General features: G+C 46.8%; 1 protein-coding gene across 2 annotated transcripts in view, besides 4 other annotated features; it reads left to right on the top strand.

The window, feature by feature from the left end:
• Positions 1 to 501: an enhancer, noted in NCBI's record as "H3K27ac hESC enhancer chr12:51663873-51664373 (GRCh37/hg19 assembly coordinates)". NCBI's record gives its function as "activates a minimal SCP1, AML or CMV promoter by ChIP-STARR-seq in primed H9 embryonic stem cells {active_cell/tissue: H9 hESC(primed)}" and the evidence as "EXISTENCE:reporter gene assay evidence [ECO:0000049][PMID:30033119]".
• Positions 1 to 906: a biological region, named in NCBI's record as "H3K27ac hESC enhancer GRCh37_chr12:51663873-51664373".
• Positions 117 to 196: a silencer, noted in NCBI's record as "silent region_4465". NCBI's record gives its function as "represses an Ori minimal core promoter by ATAC-STARR-seq in GM12878 lymphoblastoid cells {active_cell/tissue: GM12878}" and the evidence as "EXISTENCE:reporter gene assay evidence [ECO:0000049][PMID:35858748]".
• Positions 175 to 19,526, top strand: part of SMAGP (small cell adhesion glycoprotein) — a 25,858-nt gene continuing 6,506 nt past the window's right edge. The window contains exons 1-2 of one of the 2 annotated variants that reach the window (NM_001031628.2): positions 175 to 334; positions 1,274 to 1,345. In NM_001031628.2, coding sequence (NP_001026798.1) covers positions 1,312 to 1,345 — 34 coding nt within the window. In that variant the 5' untranslated portion in view covers positions 175 to 334; positions 1,274 to 1,311. Of the gene's footprint in view, positions 335 to 379; positions 532 to 1,273; positions 1,346 to 19,526 lie in introns of those variants that run through there. The other variant, NM_001033873.1, reaches the window with a different exon arrangement.
• Positions 237 to 906: a silencer, noted in NCBI's record as "silent region_4464". NCBI's record gives its function as "represses an Ori minimal core promoter by ATAC-STARR-seq in GM12878 lymphoblastoid cells {active_cell/tissue: GM12878}" and the evidence as "EXISTENCE:reporter gene assay evidence [ECO:0000049][PMID:35858748]".

Here is a 19,526-nt window from a genome sequence, read left to right as displayed (position 1 = left end):
CCCAACCCCGAGCCTCGCGGCGAGAAAGGAAGCGGCTCCGGATGGAGAGTAAAGTGACAATCGGAGAAGGGCAGGCTGCCTTTCCTCCCGGGGGAGCCAAGGGGACCTGCAGAGGGCGGTTTCTCTCCGCTTTTCCTGTCCCACCCCGTCGGCCTGCCCCCCACCCCCTCCGGCCTCTGCGCCAACCCCGCGCGCCACCCGCGGCTTCCTCCGCTCGGGGTCCTCGTTCGGCCTCTGCTGGCCTCCGCGACTCCGCGGTGCCCGCCCCCGTTGAGTTCAAAAGGACGCGCGGAGCGGCGCCGGCCCTTCACCAGCAGCCCGTCCGACTGGAAAGGTGAGCACGAGGGAAGGGCGGGGGCGCCGGAGAGCCGGGTCGCCCACATTCGCCGCAGCCACCTCGGCCGTGGCAGGAACCGAAACCCGGAGCGGCCGAAGCTCAGCGCTCCGCTGGGGCAGAGGGTCGCGGCGGCTGGGAACGCCGCTCCCCGACGCACCGGCCGCCCCCAGCGCAGCGCGCTCCGCGGGGTGCTGGTAACGCGGGGGGCTCGGGGCGGGGGCGGGGACGGGGGCGGGGCCGCGGGGCGAGGACCAACCCAGCCCGTCGCGTCCACCCCGCGTTCGCAGGGGCGTCGAGGATCTCCGGGGCGCGGGGCGCGGGCTGGGGCCCAGTGAGGCTTGGCAGGCTGTGCGCGGACCGCGCCCTGGACGGCGAAAGCAGGCCCGGAGGGGGCGGCCAGTCCGGCGTCCCAGCGTCCGAGGCGAGCCAGAAGGCGGCCCACGGCCGTCGCCTCCCGGTCCCGGCCCGGCTACTGCGCTGCGCCCACTCCGCTCTGGAGCCTGGGCGCGGGTCCTGACCTTCCCGGCCCTCTCCTGACACCTGGTGGATGGCGTCACCAGAACTCCTAGCTGTGGAACCCTAGGGTACCTGTTACCGCGCTTTGGCGAAACTGGGTTCGCTGCTGATTTGCGAACCTTTGCCTGACTTTCTCAGGCCTTGAGAGATCTAAGTAAATTTGGTGGCCCATTGAAAGGACCTGGAGAGAGCGTATGAAGGTAACACCCCGTCAAACTGCATGCGGCCTCAGACCTGCTCCTGTGGAGAGCTGTTGGTACCTGGAGCCTGAGGAGATATTCAGGGAAACCAGAAGAGGACAAGAGAAAAAGGGGAAGGGACTTGGGAGAACCTGGCACCAGAGGCTTTCCTGGGACTTCCAGGACTCAAAGCCATAGGGGCCCACCCGCTACATTCCTGTCTTTGCCCCTCTTCCTACAGATCTGCCTCTTCTCCAAGAAACTCAACCACTAGTGACAATGACCAGCCTCCTGACTACTCCTTCTCCAAGAGGTAGGTGAAGGCCTTTCCTAATCCCAGTGAGAAAGAATTGTTCAACATCCCCTTCCCCAGACCAGTCCTGGAAGCCTCAGCCCAGGTGGGAAGACTCCCACCTCTCTCTGCCTGCCTCACACAGGAAGGGCCTGGGAGGAAGCAGGAACTAGAGTGTGCCCCTTAGTACGGTTTTAATCTGAAGTCACATGGACATGGTGACTTCACAAATCTTTGTAACCTCGGTTTATCAAATAATTTTATGTCGGTAATCCCAGGACTTTGGGAGACTGAGACAGGAGGATCTCTTGAGGCTAGGTGTTTGAGACCTGCCTGGGGAACATAGTGAGACCCCATTGCTAATTCAAAAGAAAGAAAGAGGCCGGGCGTGGTGGCTCATGCTTGTAATGCCAGCAGTTTGGGAGGTCGAGGTGGGCGGATCATCTGAGGTCAGGAGTTTGAGACCAGCCTGGCCAACATGGTGAAACTCCATCTCTACTAAAAATACAAAAAAATTAGCCAGGCGTGGTGGTGCACGCCTGTAATCCCAACTACTCAGGAGGCTGAGGCATGGGAATCGCTTGAACCTGGGAAGCACAGGTGAGCCGAGATCGTGCCATTGCACTCCAGCCTGGGCAACAAAGTGAGACCGGTCTCAAAAAATAGGAAGGGAGGGAGGAAAGGAAAGGAAGGAAGGAAGGAAGGAAGGAAGATTATTGTATAAGCCTAAAGGAAGGGCTTTACATTCATCTGTCTAATAATTTATAGCTATGGCAAAGAATGTAGCAGAAACCCTTGTAATTAAATGTGGAAAAGGAATCTTCAAAGATAACAGGGAAATCATTTTTTAAAAACCTGCTAAAGATAGTATTGCTAACCTCTAAGCTCCGGTTTCATCATTCACAAAATAGGGAAAATAGTACCTATCTTATGATTTATGAAGATTAAATGAGACAACCCATATAAAACACCTAGAAGAGTGTGTAGTATCTCGTAAGCACTCAGTCACGTTGGTTATTAGCACTGAGTACTTGTTAGAAACCCATCTTTCCCTTGAAAGTGATTTTGCTGGCTTTCTCATTCCACTCCTCTGGTGATACAGACCCAGCATCAAAACCCCATTGTTCCCTGAAGGTGTGCGGAGGCCGGGCACTACTGCTCAGCACTCTGAGAATGGATGCCCACCTTTTAGTTCATCATCAGGCTGGGCCGGACAAACTATCAGTTATTTATTGACTGTTTTCAGCATGTGCTAGTTAGGGAGAGAGAGGAACAAACCCTTGGTTGGTCTATACACCTTTGTCTTCCTATACACAGTCACATTTGTCATTAGGACAGGCATTCTCTGCTTTTACTGATGTGGAAACAGGTGAGTGACACCACCAGTGGAAGTCTAAGACAGTGTCCTCTGTGACTGGTAATGCACACAATTCAGACTTTTAGTTGTCTGGTGAGAAGAGATAAAAGAGAGAAATGGCCAGGTATGGTGGCTCACGCCTGTAATTCCAGCACTCTGGGAGGTTGAGGCAGGCAGACTGAGCTCAGGAGTTCGAGATCAGCCTGGGCAACATGGCGAAACCCCATCTCTACAAAAAAATTTAAAAATTAGCCGGGCTTGGTGGTAGACACCTGTGGTTCCAGCTACTCCAAAGGCTTAGGTGGGAGGATCCCTTGAGCCCAGGAGATGGAGGTTGCAATGAGCCGAGATCATGCCACTGCACTCCGGCCTAGGTGACAGAGCAAGACCCTGTCTTAAAAAAAAAAAAAAAGAGTTAGGGGGACACGGAGTGGGGGGGGGGAATAGGTCAGCAAAGGCTTCATGGGTGGGTGAGGAAGGGGATCTGAGTCTTGCCCTTGAAAGACGGACAAGGTTCATACAGGCAAAGGGGCGCAGCAGGTATCTTAGAGAAACGTAGAATACCTTTTTCGTGTGTACCTGCTCTAGATAAAGGTAGAATACCTCATACCATGTGTGAAGCTACAGAGACGATTTACCCTGGAGGATGTTCAGGAAGCGGGTGGGCAGAGGACCTCCAGAATAATCCTGCCCACAAGGGAAAAAAGGTGATACCTTGGCAGCTAGCTGAGGGATTAGAACCTTGGCAAGGGGGAGCTGTTTACATTTTTTAAATTTTATTATTATTATTTTTGAGACCAAGTCTTGCTGTGTCACCCAGGCTGGAGTACAGTGGCTTAATTTCGGTTCACTGCAACCTCCGCCCCCTGGGTTCAAGCAATTCTCCCACCTTAGTCTCCCTAGTAGCTGGAATTACAGGCGTGCGCTACCACGCCTGGCTAATTTGTATACTTTTAGTGGAGACAGGGTTTCGCCATGTTGGCCAGGCTGGTCTCAAACTCCTGGCCTCAAGTGATCTGCCCTTCTCGGCCTCCCAAAGTGCTGGGATTACAGGCTCATGCCATTTTTTCTTTTTTAAAATTTATGGTAAAATAAACATAGTACAGGTATTACCATTTTAGCCATTTTTTCGCAGACAATTCAGTGGTAGAGTAGTCCCCGCTTATCCACAGGGGATTCATTCCAAAAACCCCAGTGGATGCCTGAAATCTCAGATAGTACTGAACCCCATCTATACTGTGTTTTTTCCTGTACATACATACTTATGATAAAGCTTAACTTGTAAATTAGGCACAGTAAGAGATTAACAATAATAATAAAATAGAACAACTATAACAATATACTGTAATAAGAGTTATGTGAAAATGGTCTCTCTCACTTAAAATGTCTTATTTACTATAGATCTTAGAAACCTCAGTACACAGTTCTTTTTTTTTTTTTCTTAAGTCAAGAACTTTCACCTTTTCACTTAAAGGAAGCACTTCTTGTTGGCATGTCCAAATTGCATCACTATTCTTGTGCTTTGGGGCCACTGTCATGTAAAATAAGGGTTACTTGAACACAAGCGCTGTGGTACTCTACTAAGCGTTTATAGCATGGACACAAAAGGATGATTCACTTTCCAGGCAGGATGGAGCAGGGTGTGAGATTTCATCACGCTACTCAGAACGGTACATAATTTAAAATGTATGAATTGTTCCTTTCTGGAATTTTCTTTTTCTGTTAAATTTCTATTTAATGTTTTCGGACTGCAGTTGACCACGGGTAACTGAAACCTAGGAAAGCAAAACCGCAGATAAGAGGGGACTACTGTTGTTTTTTTTTTTTGAGACGGAGTCTCGCTCTGTCACCCAGGCTGGAGTGCAGTAGCGCCATCTCAGCTCACTGCAAGCTCCGCCTCATGGGTTCACGCCATTCTCCTGTCTTAGCTTCCCGAGTAGCTGGGACTACAGGCGCCCACCACCACGCCCGGCTAATTTTTTGTATTTTTAGTAGAGACGGGGTTTCACCGTGTTAGCCAGGATGGTCTTGATCTCCTGACCTCGTGATCCGCCCACCTCGGCCTCCCAAAGTGCTGGGATTACAGGCCAGTGCCTGGCCTGGGGGGACTACTGTATTAAGTAATTCATGTTCCTCACCACCATCCATCTCCAGAACTTTACCTTCCCAAACCGAAACTTGACACCCATTAAACACTGATTCCCCATTTCCCTGCAAACACCGTTCTATTTTCTGTCTATGTAAATTTGACTGCTCTAGGTACTTCATGTAAGTAGAATCATACAATAGACCTTTTGTGTCTGGCTAACTTCACTTAGCATAATATTCTCAAAGTTCATCCATATTGTAGCATGTCACAATTTCCTACTTTTTCAAGGCTGAATAATATTGTTGTATGTGTATATTACATTTTGTTTATCCATTCATCTATGATGGACAGTTGAGTTGCTTCCACCTTTTGGCTATTGTGACTGATGCTGCCATAAACATGGGTGTACAAATATCTTCTTGAGACCCTGCTTTCAGTTGTTTGGGATGTATGCTCAGAAGTGGAATTGCTATATCATGTGGTAATTCTGTGTTTGATTTTTTTGAGGATCCACCATATAGGTTTGCACAGCAGCTGCACCATTTTATATTCCTACCAGCAATGCATAAAGGTTTCAGTTTCTCTACAACCTTGCCAACACTTGTTACTTTCTGTTTAATGGTAGTCATCATATTGTGTGTGAAGTGGTATCTCATTGTGGTTTTGATTTGCATTTCCCTAGTGATAGTGATGTGGAGCATCTTTTCATGTACTTATTGACCATTTGTATATCTTTGGAGAAATGTCTATTCAAGTCTTGTCCCATTTTTTAGTTGATTTGTTTTGTTCTTGTTCAGTTGTATATTTATATCCTTTAAAAATTTTTTTTAAAAAATTGATCGTTGAATCAGTCCTCTCTCTCTTTCTCTTTTTTTTTTTTTTTTTCTGGCGATGGAGTCTTGCTCTGTCACCCAGGCTGGATTGCAGTGGCACCATCTCGGCTCACTGCAACCTCCACCTCCCGGGTTCAAGCAATTCTCCTGCCTCAACCTCCTGAGTAGCTGGGATTACAGGCACACGCTGCCACACCCGGCTAATTTTTTGTATTTTAGTAGAGACGGGGTTTCACCATGTTGCCCAGGCTGGTCTCAAACTCCTGAGCTCAGGCAATCCGCCTGCCTTGGCCTCCCAAAGTACTAGGATTACAGGCATGAGCCACTGTGCCTGACCTTTTTTTTTTTTTTTTTTTTTTAAGAGATGGGATCTTACTCTGTTGCCCAGGCTGGAGTGCAGTGGCACAATCCTGGCTCACTACAGACCCAAACATCTGGGCTTGAGGGATCCTCCCACCTCAGACTCCTGAGCAGCTGGGACTGCAGGCGTGCACCATCACGCCCAGCTAATTTTAAAATTTTTTGTAGAGATAGGGTTTTGCTATGTTGCTCAGGCAACTCTCCCGGCCTGAAGCCATGCTCCTTCCTCTGCCCCTGAGTTGTTGAGATTATAGGCGCAAGCCACCTCACCTGGCTGCATTCTTGATCCAGCGAGTGACATGAGTGAAGTAGTGATTTAGGACAGTCTCCTATCCACTGGGTCCAAGCAAGTGTAAGTTCAGAGACAGCAATAGACAAAAGAATAGAAATCACAGATAGGAAGAAAGCTTATACTTTAAATGATGGGATCACTAAAGGCCAGCTCTTCTCTTCTACCCCTGTCTTGCATTTCTCTTCCCCCACCTTCCCACCTATTCCTCCCTCACAGTCTATAAAGACTTCCTAGAGAAGATATCCTCCAGGAACCTTGAAAGGAAGGGCCACATTATGACTCCTGAGCCCTGGGCACTTCTGTCTTTGTGGGCTCCTCCTTCACTTAAAAAAATATTAAAAATCATATTTTACAACTGCATCAGTGTAAGGAAGAATATAATATAATATAATTAATATTTATAATTAGTAATTGAATGGCATAACAACCTTAATATTTCTTTGACCTAAAATTTTGTTTCTTTTCCTTCTTCTAATTATAAAAGAAATGAAAATTATTTAAAACATTTTCATGGGCCTTTCGAAGCATTGTGGGCCCAGGGCACTGTGCCTGTTGTGCCTAGTGCATAAGTCAGCCCTATTCGAAGTAGGGCAGAGTGGAACTGTGCCTTGTGGGCTTTGCCCACCGTGCCAGGTAAAGCTCATCTCTTGCCACCAAATGATCACACCAGCTACCGCCTAGGTTGTCCTCACCCTGTATTAGACACTTAGCATTTTTCTTTATTTTATTTTAAAAATAATTTTTTGTAGAAATAAGGTCTTACTGTGTTGCCCAGTCTGGTCTCAAACTCCTGGCCTCAGGTGATCCTCCCATCTCAGCCTCCCAAAGCAGCATTTTTCATTGCACTTATTCCTCACCACAACCCAATGAAACAAGTTTTAGTCTCATTTTACGGAAGGAAAAACTGAAGTTCAGGGGAGTTAAGGAATTTTCTTTTCTTTTTTTTTTTTTGAGATGGAATTTCCCACTTGTCACCCAGGCTGGAGTGTAGTGGTGCAATCTCGGCTAACTGCAACCTCTGCCTCCCGGGTTCAAGCAATTTTCCTGCCTCAGCCTCCCGAGTAGCTGGGACTATAGGCGCCCACCACTATGCCCAGCTAATTTTTGTATTTTTAGTAGAGACAGGGTTTCACCATGTTGGCCAGACTGGTCTCGAACTTCTGATCTCAAGTGATTCACTCACCCCGACCTCCCAAAGTGCCGGGATTACAGGCATGAGTCACCGTTAAATTTTCAAAGATTAAAAAAATTTCCCAAGGTCACACAGCTAGTAATGGCAGAGGCAGGATTTTGCGCCAAGTCTGATTTACTGCAAGCCTGTGTTCTTTCTGTCATGGTGTACTGCTCCCAAGGTCTCACTCCACCCAACTGGCTGGTGCACATGAAAGAGAAGGCAGAAGAAAGGGGGCCGAGTCCCAGGGTGGCTTCCCATGGAAAGAACTCGGGGAGCCGCCCTCTGCTGGGCAGGTCTAGAGCAAATAAGTAGGCTGGCAGACTTAGGTGGCAAAAGATCTGATGCCTCAGTGATAAGAGATTTAGCTCAAGCTGGGAACAAGGACCACAAAGAAGCCAGCCAGTATCTGGGTTAACAAAAAAAAGAGTAAGTGAACAGAATAGATCTTGAAGGTCATTTGCTATTGGTTAGGACTTGGGTGGGGCCTTCAATCTTATGAACCTGAGCAGGGAAGGTTTGGAAAGACTGTAGTGCTATTTAATAATTATTCCTTTGTTTGGACAAAAAAATGGGGTAGAAACGGGAGAGAATGGGGGAAAAGCTATAAGCCATTTCCTCCTTTTATGCCAGCTTTCCTGAACTTAGTTTATTTTGTTGTTGTTTGTCCTTTTTTTCTTTTTTTGAGACAGGGCCTCAGTTTCACCCAGGCTGTAGAGCAGTGGCTCAATCACAGCTCACTGCAGCCTCAACCTTCCCAGACTCAGGTGATCCTCCCACCTCAGCCTCCCAAGTAGCTGGGATCACAGGTGCGTGCCACCATGCCCAGTTAATTTTTGTATTTTTTGTAGAGACAGGGTTTTGCCATGTTGCCCAGGTTGGTCTTGAACTCCTGGACTCAAGTGATCCTCTGGCCTCAGCCTCCCAAATTGCTGGGATTATAGGTGTAAGCCACCTTGCCAAGCATGTTCTTTTATTTGAAAGGTAATACATGCCCCTCAGAGAACAGCTTTCTAGACCTTTTCTATGTACAAACATATATATGCATATTTATAGGGTTTTTTAAAGTTACTTAAAAAAAAATACACAGAGAGACAGGGGTCTCGCTATGTTGCCCAGGCTGGACTCAAACTTCTGGCCTCAAGCAATCCTCCCACCTCAGCCTCCAAAAGTGCTGGGATTATGGGTGTAAGCCACTGCACTCTGCCAATTTACTTTTTTTTTTTTTTTTAAACAAAGATGCAGTCCTACTACATATACCACCTGGCAGTTTGCTTTTTTCATCTAACCATGTATCCTGTCCCAGTAATATTGTAGATCTCATATTCGTTTTAGCAACTGTTTCCACAATGGATGGCCTGTAATTTATTTCATCATTCCTCTCCAGATAGACATTCTAAGTATGTCTGGATTTTTTATTTTAAAATTTGATTTTAATGAGAATTCTAATAGAACACTTTCCATTTATAAAAATTCAAAAATTAAGGCTGAGAGGGGTTCTGATGCTCAGCTAGTTCAACTAACCATTCTGTCCTAGAATTCTCTCTCCAAGATGCTACGTAGCTTTTGTCCAGTTTTGCTCTTCCTTCTGTTGGGGAGACATCTGTCTTTCCCAGTTTCTGCTGTTAGTTCTCTTGTACAGGTCATGCCTTGGCATATTAGAAGACAGAATTCAAGCTCTAGGCTCCCTTTTTTTTCTCTGGGCTTTCTCTTGCAAGCTTTCCTTATCTGACATGGTTTGCCTGCTCACTTCAAAATTGTGACACCCAGGCCGGGTGTGGTGGCTCATGCCTGTAATCCCAGCACTTTGGGAGGCCGAGGTGGGCAAATCACAAGGTCAAGAGTTCGAGACCAGCCTGGCCAACATGGTGAAACCCTGTGTTTACTAAAAATACAAAAAATTAGCTGGGCATAGTGGCGGGTGCCTGTAATCCCAGCTACTTGGGAGGCTGAGGCAGGAGAATCGCTTGAACCTGGGAGGCGGAGGTTGCAGTGAGCCAAGATTGAGCCACTGCACTCCAGCCCAGGTGACAGAGTGAGACTCCGTCTCAGAAAAAAAAAAAAAAAAAAATTAAGGCTGGGCACGGTGGCTCACACCTGTAATTCTAGCACTTTGGGAGGCCAAGGTAGGTGTATCACGAGATCAGGAGTTCGAGACCAGCCTGACCAACATGGTGAAACCCCCTCTCTACTAAAAATACTGTAATCCCAGCACTTTGGGAGGCTGAGGCGGGTGGATCACGAAGTCAGGAGATCGAGACCATCCTGGCTAACATGGTGAAACCCCGTCTCTACTAAAAATACAAAAAAATCAGCTGGGCGTGGTGGTGGGCGCCTGTAGTCCCAGCTACTCGGGAGGCTGAGGCAGGAGAATCGCTTGAACCCAGGAGGCAGAGGTTGCAGTGAGCCGAGATCACGCCGCTGCACTCCAGCCTGGGCCAGAGAATGAGACTCCGTCTCAAAAAAAAAAAAAAAAAAAAAAAATTGGCCGGGCGCGGTGGCTCACGCCTGTAATCCCAGCATTTTGGGAGGCCAAGACGGGTGGATCACGAGGTCAGGAGATTGAGACCATCCTGGCTAACACGGTGAAACCCTGTCTCTACTAAAAAAATACAAAAAATTAGCCGGGCGTGGTGGCGGGCACCTGTAGTCCCAACTACTCAGGAGGCTGAGGCAGGAGAATGGCGTGAACCTGGGAGGCGGAGCTTGCAGTGAGCCGAGATTCTGCCACTGCACTCCAGCCTGGGTGACAGAGCGAGACTCCGTCTCAAAAAACAACAACAACAACAACAACAAAAAAAACAATCAGCCGGCTGTGCTGGTGCACACCTGTAACTCCCAGCTACTTGGGAGGTTAAGGCAGGAGAATCGCTTGAACCCGGGAGGCGGAGGTTGCAGCGAGCCAAGATCTGTCGTGAGCAGAGATCCTGTCTCAAAAAAAAAAAAAAAAAAAAAAAGAAACCATGACACCCAGATGAACTCAGCAGTCTAGGCGTGGTACAAAGTAGAGCAGTACTGTGGCCTCCATTATTAGACCATATTTATATTGCTGGTGCCTAAAATAACAGCAATCTTTAATTTTTTATGATTATAAAAGTAATTCTTTATCATTGTGAGAAATTCGGAATATAAAGGAAAGCATATAAAACAACATAAAATTCAGGCACACACCTGTAATCCAAGCACTTTGGGAGGCCAAGGTGGCAGGATACCTTAAGGCCAGGAGTTCAAGACCAGCGTGGGCAACATAGCAAGACTCCCTCTCTACAAAAAACTTTAAAAATTAGCCAGGCATGGTGGCACACACCTGTAATCCCAGCTACTCAGGAGGCTGAGGTGGGAGGATTGCCTGAGCCCAGGAGTTCAAGGTTACAGTGATCTATGATTGCATCACTGCATTCCAGCCTGGGTGACAGAACAAGACCCTGTCTCTAAGAAAAAAAGAAGAAAATTAAAATCATTGGGAATTCCACAACCTATCTGTAACTCCTGCTGCTGTTTTGGAGTATATCCTTCCAGTGTCAGTGGTTTTTTTAGGGACCCCCCCATAAGTACTTTATATATGATGTTGCTAAGCCATAGCTTCCCCATTCTTTGTGAGTAGTTGGCTTCCTGAACCTAAGAGCAAGGAATGTGTTAAATTCTCATCTTGTTCAGTTTGGTGCATTTCTTCAGTCATTTGAAATGTGTCTGTGTTTATCAGTTTACTAGTTGCCCCTCTAGCTTTGAAGCCTTTAACAAATTTGTCAGGGCTGGGCGCAGTGGCTCACACCTGTAATCCCAGCACTTTGTGTTGTTCAGGCAGGAGGATCGCTTGAGCCCAGGAGTTCAAAACTAGCCTAGGCAACACAGTAAGACTCCATCTGTACAAAAAATTTTAAAATTGTCGAATCTTCCCTGGGTCTGCAGGATCTGCATTTACCCCAAGGGCATTCAGCTCAGCCTTTGTAGAAGGCACCAATAAAGCATAAGACCAAAAATATGTATGTATATATCTTGCAAAGAATTTGAAGTTCAATATATATTTTTTGAGACAGGGTCTTACTCTGTCAGCCAGGCTGGCATGCAGTGGCGCAAACATGGCTCACCGCAGCCTCAACTTCTCAGACTGAAGTGATCCTCTAGAATCCTCCTCAGGGTTCAACTATCAGGTTTTTTTTTTTTTTTTTTTTTTTTTTTGGTAGAGACAGGGTCTCCCCATGTTGCCCAGGCTGGCTTTGAACTCCTGGGCTCAAGCAGTCCTCCTGCCTCAGCCTCCCAAATTGTTGGGATTACAGGCATGAGCCACTGCACCCAGCCTTGGACTTTCTTATACTTGCTTTATGATTTAATATTTTTATTTCAAATTACATAAAGGCCTTATTTTGGCCCTTGCATGATTTGACATAACTATCAATTCAAAAAGGACTAAGGTTAAACCACAGTGAAAGAGTCTCTGTCTAGACTGGCATCACTTCATCCCTTAACAACCCATTACTGCCTCACTTAGGCCTTATAGCCAGGCTGTATTTCTCTGCCTTGTCCACAAGGATATTATAAATAATCTTTTCTTTTCTTTCTTTTTTTTTTTTGAGATGGAGTCTCACTCTTGTTGCCCAGGCTGGAGTGCAATGGCACGATCTCAGATCACTGCAACCTGTGCCTCCCAGGTTCAAGCGATTCTCCTGCCTCAGCCTCCCAGTAGTAGCTGGGATTATAGGTGCCCACCACCATGCCCAGCTAATTTTTATTTTTAGTAGAGATGGGGTTTCACCATGTTGGCCAGGCTGGTCTTGAACTCCCAACCTCCATCACCTTAGGTGATCCACCTGCCCTCAGCCTCCCAAAATGCTGGGATTACAGGCATGCACCACTGTGCCCGGCCTGTAAATAATGTTGTTGTATGTTTTCTGATGCTATTTACTCTTGCAGCACCTTCAGTTCTCCTTAAGCCCCTCCTACCCTCACTCTCAACTGATTATCTTACATCCTATTTTGTAATTATTAATTAATTTATTTTTTGAGAGACAGGGTCTGTTACCTAGGCTGGAGTGCTATGGCACAATCATAGCTCACTGCAGCCTTGAACTCCTGGGCTCAAGGAATCCTCCCACCTCAGCCTTCCAAATTGCTGGACTTACAGGTGTGTGCCACCATGCCTGGCTATTGCTTTTATTTTTATTTTTATTTTTTTTGTAGAGATGGAGGTCTCACTATGTTGCTCTCAGCCTGATCTCAAACTCCTGACCTCAAGCGATCCTCCCACATTGGACTCTCAAAGTGCTGGGATTATAGGTGCAAACCACTGGGCCCAGTTAAGATCTTACTTTAGAATGGGTAGGCTGGGCACAGTGGCTCACACCTGTAATCCCAGCACTTTGAGAGGCCAAGACAGGCAGATCACCTGAGGTCAGGAGTTCGAGACCAGCCTGGCCAACAGGGTGAAACCCCATCTCTACTAAAAATGCAAAAATTAGCCAAGTGTAGTGGTGGGTACCTGTAATCCCAGGTACTCGGGAGACTAAGGCAAGAGAATCATTATAACCTGGGAGGAGGAGGTTACAGTGACCCAAGGTGGCACCACTGCACTCCAGCCTGGGTGACAGAGCAAGACTGTCTCAAAAAAAAAAAATGTATACAAAGGTCTCACTATGTTGCCCAGGCTTGTCTTGAACTCCTGGCCCTGGCCCCAAACAATTCTCCCCACTCGGCCTCTCAAAGTGCTGGGATTATAGGCACAAGCCACTGGGCCCAGTTAAGATCCTATTTTCTTGAGCAAATTAAAGTTATCAGAAGAGAACTGCCAAAGGCTCGCACCCTCACCATCAACCTGCCACCTGCATTTGTGCCCATATACTCTGCTTTTCCTCCTATTCCAATGGCACTGTCTCTGCTGCTGTCTGCAGCCAGCCCCCCAGCCCCTCTGTGCTCTAGATCTCATCCCTTCAAGGACTCTTGTGCATCATCAATTGTGCCTCTCATCTGGGTCATTCTCATCTGTATGCAAACATGCTGGCATTTCTCCCATCAGAAAAACAAACAAATTTGAACTCCCTTTCCCCTCCAGTCACAGCCTTTCTCTACTCACCTTTACAGAGAAATTTTGTGTAAGCATTTATTTATATTCTGCCTTCAGTTCCTCTCCTTCCATTTCTTCCTTGAACCCACCCTAAATTACGGGTTTGTATCCAGCACTTCACCAAAACTTCTCTTGTAAAGGTCGTTTATGATCTCTGCATGGCAAAAGCTGTTTGGCTGCTACTCCCCAGTCTCCTTGGGCTCAGTCTTGGGTTCTCTTTATCTGCACTTACTCCTGGGTGATCTCACCCAGTCTATGGTCTTAAATATCTAATGACTTTTCAACCTCTAGTACCATATATAAGAATATATATATATATCTTTTTTTGGGTGGGGGGGAGGTTTTGTTTGTTTGTGTTTTTTTTGTTTGTTTGTTTGTTTGTTTTGAGACGGAGTTTCGCTCTCATTGCCCAGGCTGGAGTGCAATGGCACGATCTCAGCTCGCCGCAACCTCCGCCTCCTGGGTTCAAGCGATTCTCCTGCCTCAGCCTCCCGAGTAGCTGGGATTACAGGCATGCGCCACCACCCCGGCTAATTTTGTATTTTTAGTAGAGATGGGGTTTCTCCATGTTGGTCAGGCTGGTCTTGAACTGCTGACCTCAGGTGATCCGCCTGCCTCTGCCTCCCAAATTGCTGGGATTACTGGCGTGAGCCACCGCGCCCGGCTTGTTTGTGTTTTTTTAAATAGAGCTGAGGTCCCACTATGTTGCCCAGGCTGCTCTTGAACTCCTGAGGTCAAGTGATCCTCTGGCCTCAGCCTCCCAAAGTGCTAAGATTACAGGCGTGAGCCACCGCACCTGGCCTCCAAATTCTAATCTTCATATCTGAACTTTGATATCTAGTAAGCAATCATGTTTCTTCCAAATTTGTTCCCCCTGCAGGCTTACCCCTCTCACATAACTCCATGCCTTCACCCTTGACTCCACCCCACATCCAATCCTGTCCGTCTTTGCTTCAGATTATATTCAGAATCTCACCACTTTCTCACTGAGCTGCTGCAAAAGCAATCAATGCTGTCGTGGAAATTAGAAAAAGGGGTTGGGCACGGTAGCTCACACCTGTAATGCCAGCACTTTGGGAGGCCAAGGTGGGCAGATCACTTGAGGTTAGGAGTTCAAGACCAGCCTGGCCAACATGGTGAAACCCCGTCTCTACTAAAAATACAAAATTAGCCAGGCATGGTGGTGCATGCCTGTAATCCCAGCTACTTGGGAGTCTGAGGCAGGAAAATTGCGTGAACCCGGGAGGCGGAGGCTGCAATAAGCTGAGATCACACCACTGTATTCCAGCCTGGACAACAGAGCAAGACCCTGTCTCAAAAAAAAGAAAGAAAAAGAAAAAGGCACACCTTTTGGCAGATGCAACTGTGCACTTGTGCAGGGTACACCCTGCTTCTGCACGTGTGCCACCTTCCCACAGCCTATTGTCCACACTGTAGTCAGAGGGATCCTTTCAAATCAATCCCTGTTTCAATCATGTATTGCTGCTGGAAGGTCTGCTAGACTAGAAGGGCCAAAATGGTCTCCCTCACATGTCTGGCAGTCAGCTGAGCCTGGGGTGCTTGGTTTTCCTCCATATGGCCTCTCATCCTCTAGCAGGCAGGATTGGGGTTCCTCTCAACATGGTGGTCTCAGGGTTTCACAAGTGTGGTCTTTGGAAATCAGGCCCCACCTCAGATCTCCTGAATCAGAATCTGCATTTTAACGAGATCTGTAGGAGATTGTTATGCACAAGAAAGTTTGAGAAGCATTGCTTTAAAACACAAACCTAGGCCAGGCACAGTGGCACATGCCTGTAATCCCAACACTTTGGGAGGCCAAGGAGGGAGAACCATTTGAGCCCAGGAGTTTTGAGACGAGCCTGGGCAACATAGCAAGACCCCGTCTCTCCAAAAAATAACAAAATTAGCCAGGCGTGTTGGTGCACGCTTGTATTCCCAGCTACTCCAGAGGCTGAGGCAGGAGGATCGCTTGAGCCTGGGAGGTGGAGGCTGCAGTGAGCCATGATCATACCATGGCACTCCAGCCTGGAGGACAGACTGAGGCCCTGTCTCAAAAATAAGTAAGTGAATAAATAATAAAAAAAATCTGATCAGTCTCTGCCCAAAAACCTGTAAAAGCTTCCCACCTCACTCCCTGAAAAAGCCCTTACCTTGGCCTACAAGGCCTGTGTTGTACAGGCCTCCTTGACTTTCTCTGCTCCTCCTCTCCCCGTTACTCCCACTCAGGGGCCTCCATACTGTGCATTTAACAGGCCAAGCATGCCTGGCCCCGGGGTGTTTTTCAGTGCTGTGGACAGCCCTCCCATGAACTTGCTGTCCCCTCTGCCTGGAATGTTCCTCAATCAGCTCTTTGCATGACTGCCTCCCTTACCTTCTTTAGGTCTTCACTCAAGTCACCTCATCAGTAAAGCTTCCCCTGACAACCTTCTCTAAAACCACAACTCCAACCACATCCCAGCTTTCCATCCTCTTTTCTGCTTATTTTTCTACATAGCGCTAATTAACGTCTAATATAGCATATCTTTTACTTATTTAATTATTTATTTTTACTTTTTTTTTTAGATGGAGTCTCTCTCTGTCACCCAGGTTGGAGTGCAGTGGTGCAATCTCGGCTCACTGCAGCCTCCGCCTCCTGGGTTCAAGTGATTCTCCTGCCTCAGCCTCCTGAGTAGCTGGGACTACAGGCATACGCCACCACACCCAGCTAATTTTTGTATTTTTAGTAGAGACGGGGTTTTGCCATGTTGGTCAGGCTGGTGCCAAACTCCTGACCTCATGATCCACCCGCCTCGGCCTCCCAAAGTGCTGGGATTACAGGCATGAGCCACCGCGCCCGGCCTTATTTTATTTATTGTCTGTCTTCCCCCTCTAAAAATGTAAATTATATAAACAGAGGGTTTTTTAATTGTGGTAAAATTATACATAACATAAAATTGACCATTTTAACCATTTTCAAGTGTACAGTCCAGCAGTATTAAGTACATTCATGTTGTTATACCTTCACCAACACCACTATGCATCTCCAGAACTTTTTCATCCTCCCAAACTAAAACTCTATACTCATTAAACATTAACTCCCCATTTTCCCCTTCTCCAGCCCCTTACAATCTCCTGTAGTACTTTCTGTCTTATGAATTTGATTGCTCTAAGCACATCATATAAGTGGAATCATACAATGTTTGTCCTCTTTTTTTTTGTTTGAGACAGAGTCTCGCTCTTTCGCCTGGGCTGGAGTGCAGTGGCATGATCTTGGCTCACTGCAACCTCTACCTCCCGGGTTCAAGTGATTCTCCTGCCTTGGCCTCCCAAGTAGCTGGGATTACAGGCACCTGCCACCACGTCCGGCTAATTTTTGTATTTTTAGTAGAGACGGGGTTTTACCACGTTGGCCAGGCTGGAATGTTTGTCCTTTTGTGCCTGGCTTATTTCACTTAGTGTCATGTCCTCAAGGTTCATCCATGTTGTAGTATATGTCTGAATTCCTTCCTTTTTTGTTTTTTGTTTTTTTTTAGAATTTCCTTCCTCTTTAAGGGTATGTATATACCACATTTTGTTTATCCATTTATCTACTGTTGGACATTTGGGTTATTTCACCTTTTATTTAGCTATTGCATAATGCTCCTATGAACATGATATACAAGTATCAGTTGAAGTCCATTCATTTCTTTTGGGTATATACCTAGAAGTGGGATTGCGGGATCATACCCACCCAGCAATGAGATTGCTGGGTAATTCTGTTTAATCCTGGCAGGAACTTTAAAGGTAAGGGTTTTTGCCTGTGTTGTTCACTGATAGAAGCCCAGAGCCTGGCACAGAGTACACACTCAGTAAATTCTTGTTGAACTAACTGTTTAATTTCCCTGTCTAGGAACCTGGAATCTCAGTCTAAGAAGGCTGTGCAGCTTATCTGACCCAGCTTGCTCTCAGTAGTCCCATTCTGACTTCTAATGCTTGCTGTTTCGAGTTCAAAGCCCCCCAAACAGGCCGTAATAGTGTGTTCTAGAACTTTGCTGGGGAGTCACATCAAGCTCACCATTGCTTTATGGACTCCACCTTCCTTCCATGGCCCCTTCAGGTTCCCGACCCCTTTCTCTTTCTCAGAAGCTCCTATGTCACCAACAGAAATCCCATTTACAAGTTCTTGCAGTGCCTTTGGCTGTCATATCTGGTCCCTTTTAGATTAGTCTGGTGCTTGCTGGGTTTCTTTGCTTCTCTTGAGCTCACTTCCCCCATGTCCCCAAAGGCTCCACTGCTCCTTAGTGCAAAAAAATGATTCTCTTTGATAGGAAACAGAGGTGAAAAGGCCTGAGGGAATTCTGCTTTCTCTGTTACCTCCAACCTGACCCCTCAGGCCCAAAGAAGCCTAGCTTTTTCTTTGTTCTTGTTGCAAATATAATGCTTTTTAAATTGTCCTTCGGGGGGCGATGTGGCTCACGCCTGTAATCCCAACACTTTGGGAGGCTGAGGAGGGCGGATCACCTGAGGTCAGGAGTCTGAGACCAGCCTGGCCAACATGGCAAAACTGTCTCTACTAAAAAATACAAAAATTAGCCGGGTGTGGTGGCACATGCCTGTAATTCCAGCTACTTGGGAGGCTGAGGCAGGAGAATTGCTTGAACCCAGGGGGCGGAGGTTGCAGTGAGCCGAGATGAAGCCACTGCACTCCAGCCTGGGTGACACAGTGAGACTTGGCCTCAAAAATAATAATAATAGGCCGGGCACAGTGGCTCATACCTGTAATCCCAGCACTTTGGGAGGCCGAGGCGGGCAGATCACGAGGTCAGGAGATCAAGACCATCCTGGCTAATATGGTGAAACCCCGTCTCTACTAAAAAATACAAAAAATTAGCCGGGCGTGGTGACATGCGCCTGTAGTCCCAGCTACTCGGGAGGCTGAGGCAGGAGAATCGCTAGAACCTGGGAGACAGAGGTTGCAGTGAGCCAACATCGCGCCACTGCACTCCAGCCTGGGTGACAGAGCGAGACTCTGTCTGGAAAAAAAAAAAAAAATCTGATGTAGAGTCTGCCTTCTTGTCATCGTTTAAATATTGAGGTAAATTTCTTTGCACCTTTCTTCATCTGCACTTTCTGCTTCACCAGATGGCTTCATATAAGTGGAAACTGACCAATAGCTGCATCGCAGCAAGGCATTCTGTAGAATTTTTTTCTTAAGGTCTTCCTGTATGGCTAAAATATTCTCTAGTTGTGAGAAAGCTTGCTTCTGATCATGTTAAACATTAAAGCTAAAGAGGGTGGGGAGTCCTCTGAACCTCTTTTGGTTCTAGGGGCTGCTCAATTTAAAAAAATTAAAGAATAGATAACTGAAAATAAACTAAAAATAAAGAAGTCACATATAAACCAACATGACTTCTGCATTACACTGACATCGTTCCCTTAAGTTACCTATCACCAGTGAGCCAGTTCATGTTAAAGAAGCACTTTGTAGCACAACTGTCTGTATTTAATTGTGATCATCTGGTTTCCTCCCACCTTTATTCTTTTTTTTTTTTTTTCTGAAACAGGGTCTCACTCTGTCACCCAGACTAGAGTACAGTGGCACAATCACAGCTCACTGCAGCCTGGACCTCCTGGGCTCCAGTGATCCTCTCACCTCAAGTTTACCGAGTAGCTGGGACTACAGGTGTGTGCCACCATGTCTGGCTAACTTTTTTTTTTTTTTTTTTTTTGTAGAGATGGGAGTCTGGCTATGTTGCCCAGGCTGGTCTCCAACTCCTGGGCTCAAGCGATCCACCTGCCTTGGCCTCCCAAGGTGCTGGAATTACAGGCGTGAGCCACTGCACCCAGCCTCCTCCATATATTATTTTTAAAAAACAAATAGAGATGGTGTCTTGCTATATTGTCCAGATTAGTCTCAAACTCCTGGCCTCAAGCAATCCTCCTGCCTCCGCCTCCCAAAGTGTTGGGATTACAGGCGTGAGCTACCACACTAAACCTAATGTACAAAGTAAGTTACTGTTGATGATTGAACACAAATTACTCATCTTCAAGCTTCTGATATACATTAATCTTCTCAATGCTTTG

The sequence above is a fragment of the Homo sapiens genome, chromosome 12 (genome assembly GCF_000001405.40).
Source record: "Homo sapiens chromosome 12, GRCh38.p14 Primary Assembly".
Taxonomy (NCBI): Eukaryota; Metazoa; Chordata; class Mammalia; order Primates; family Hominidae; genus Homo; species Homo sapiens.
The sequence above is the reverse complement of the archived record's forward strand: the minus strand, read 5'-3'. Positions and strand labels throughout refer to the sequence as shown.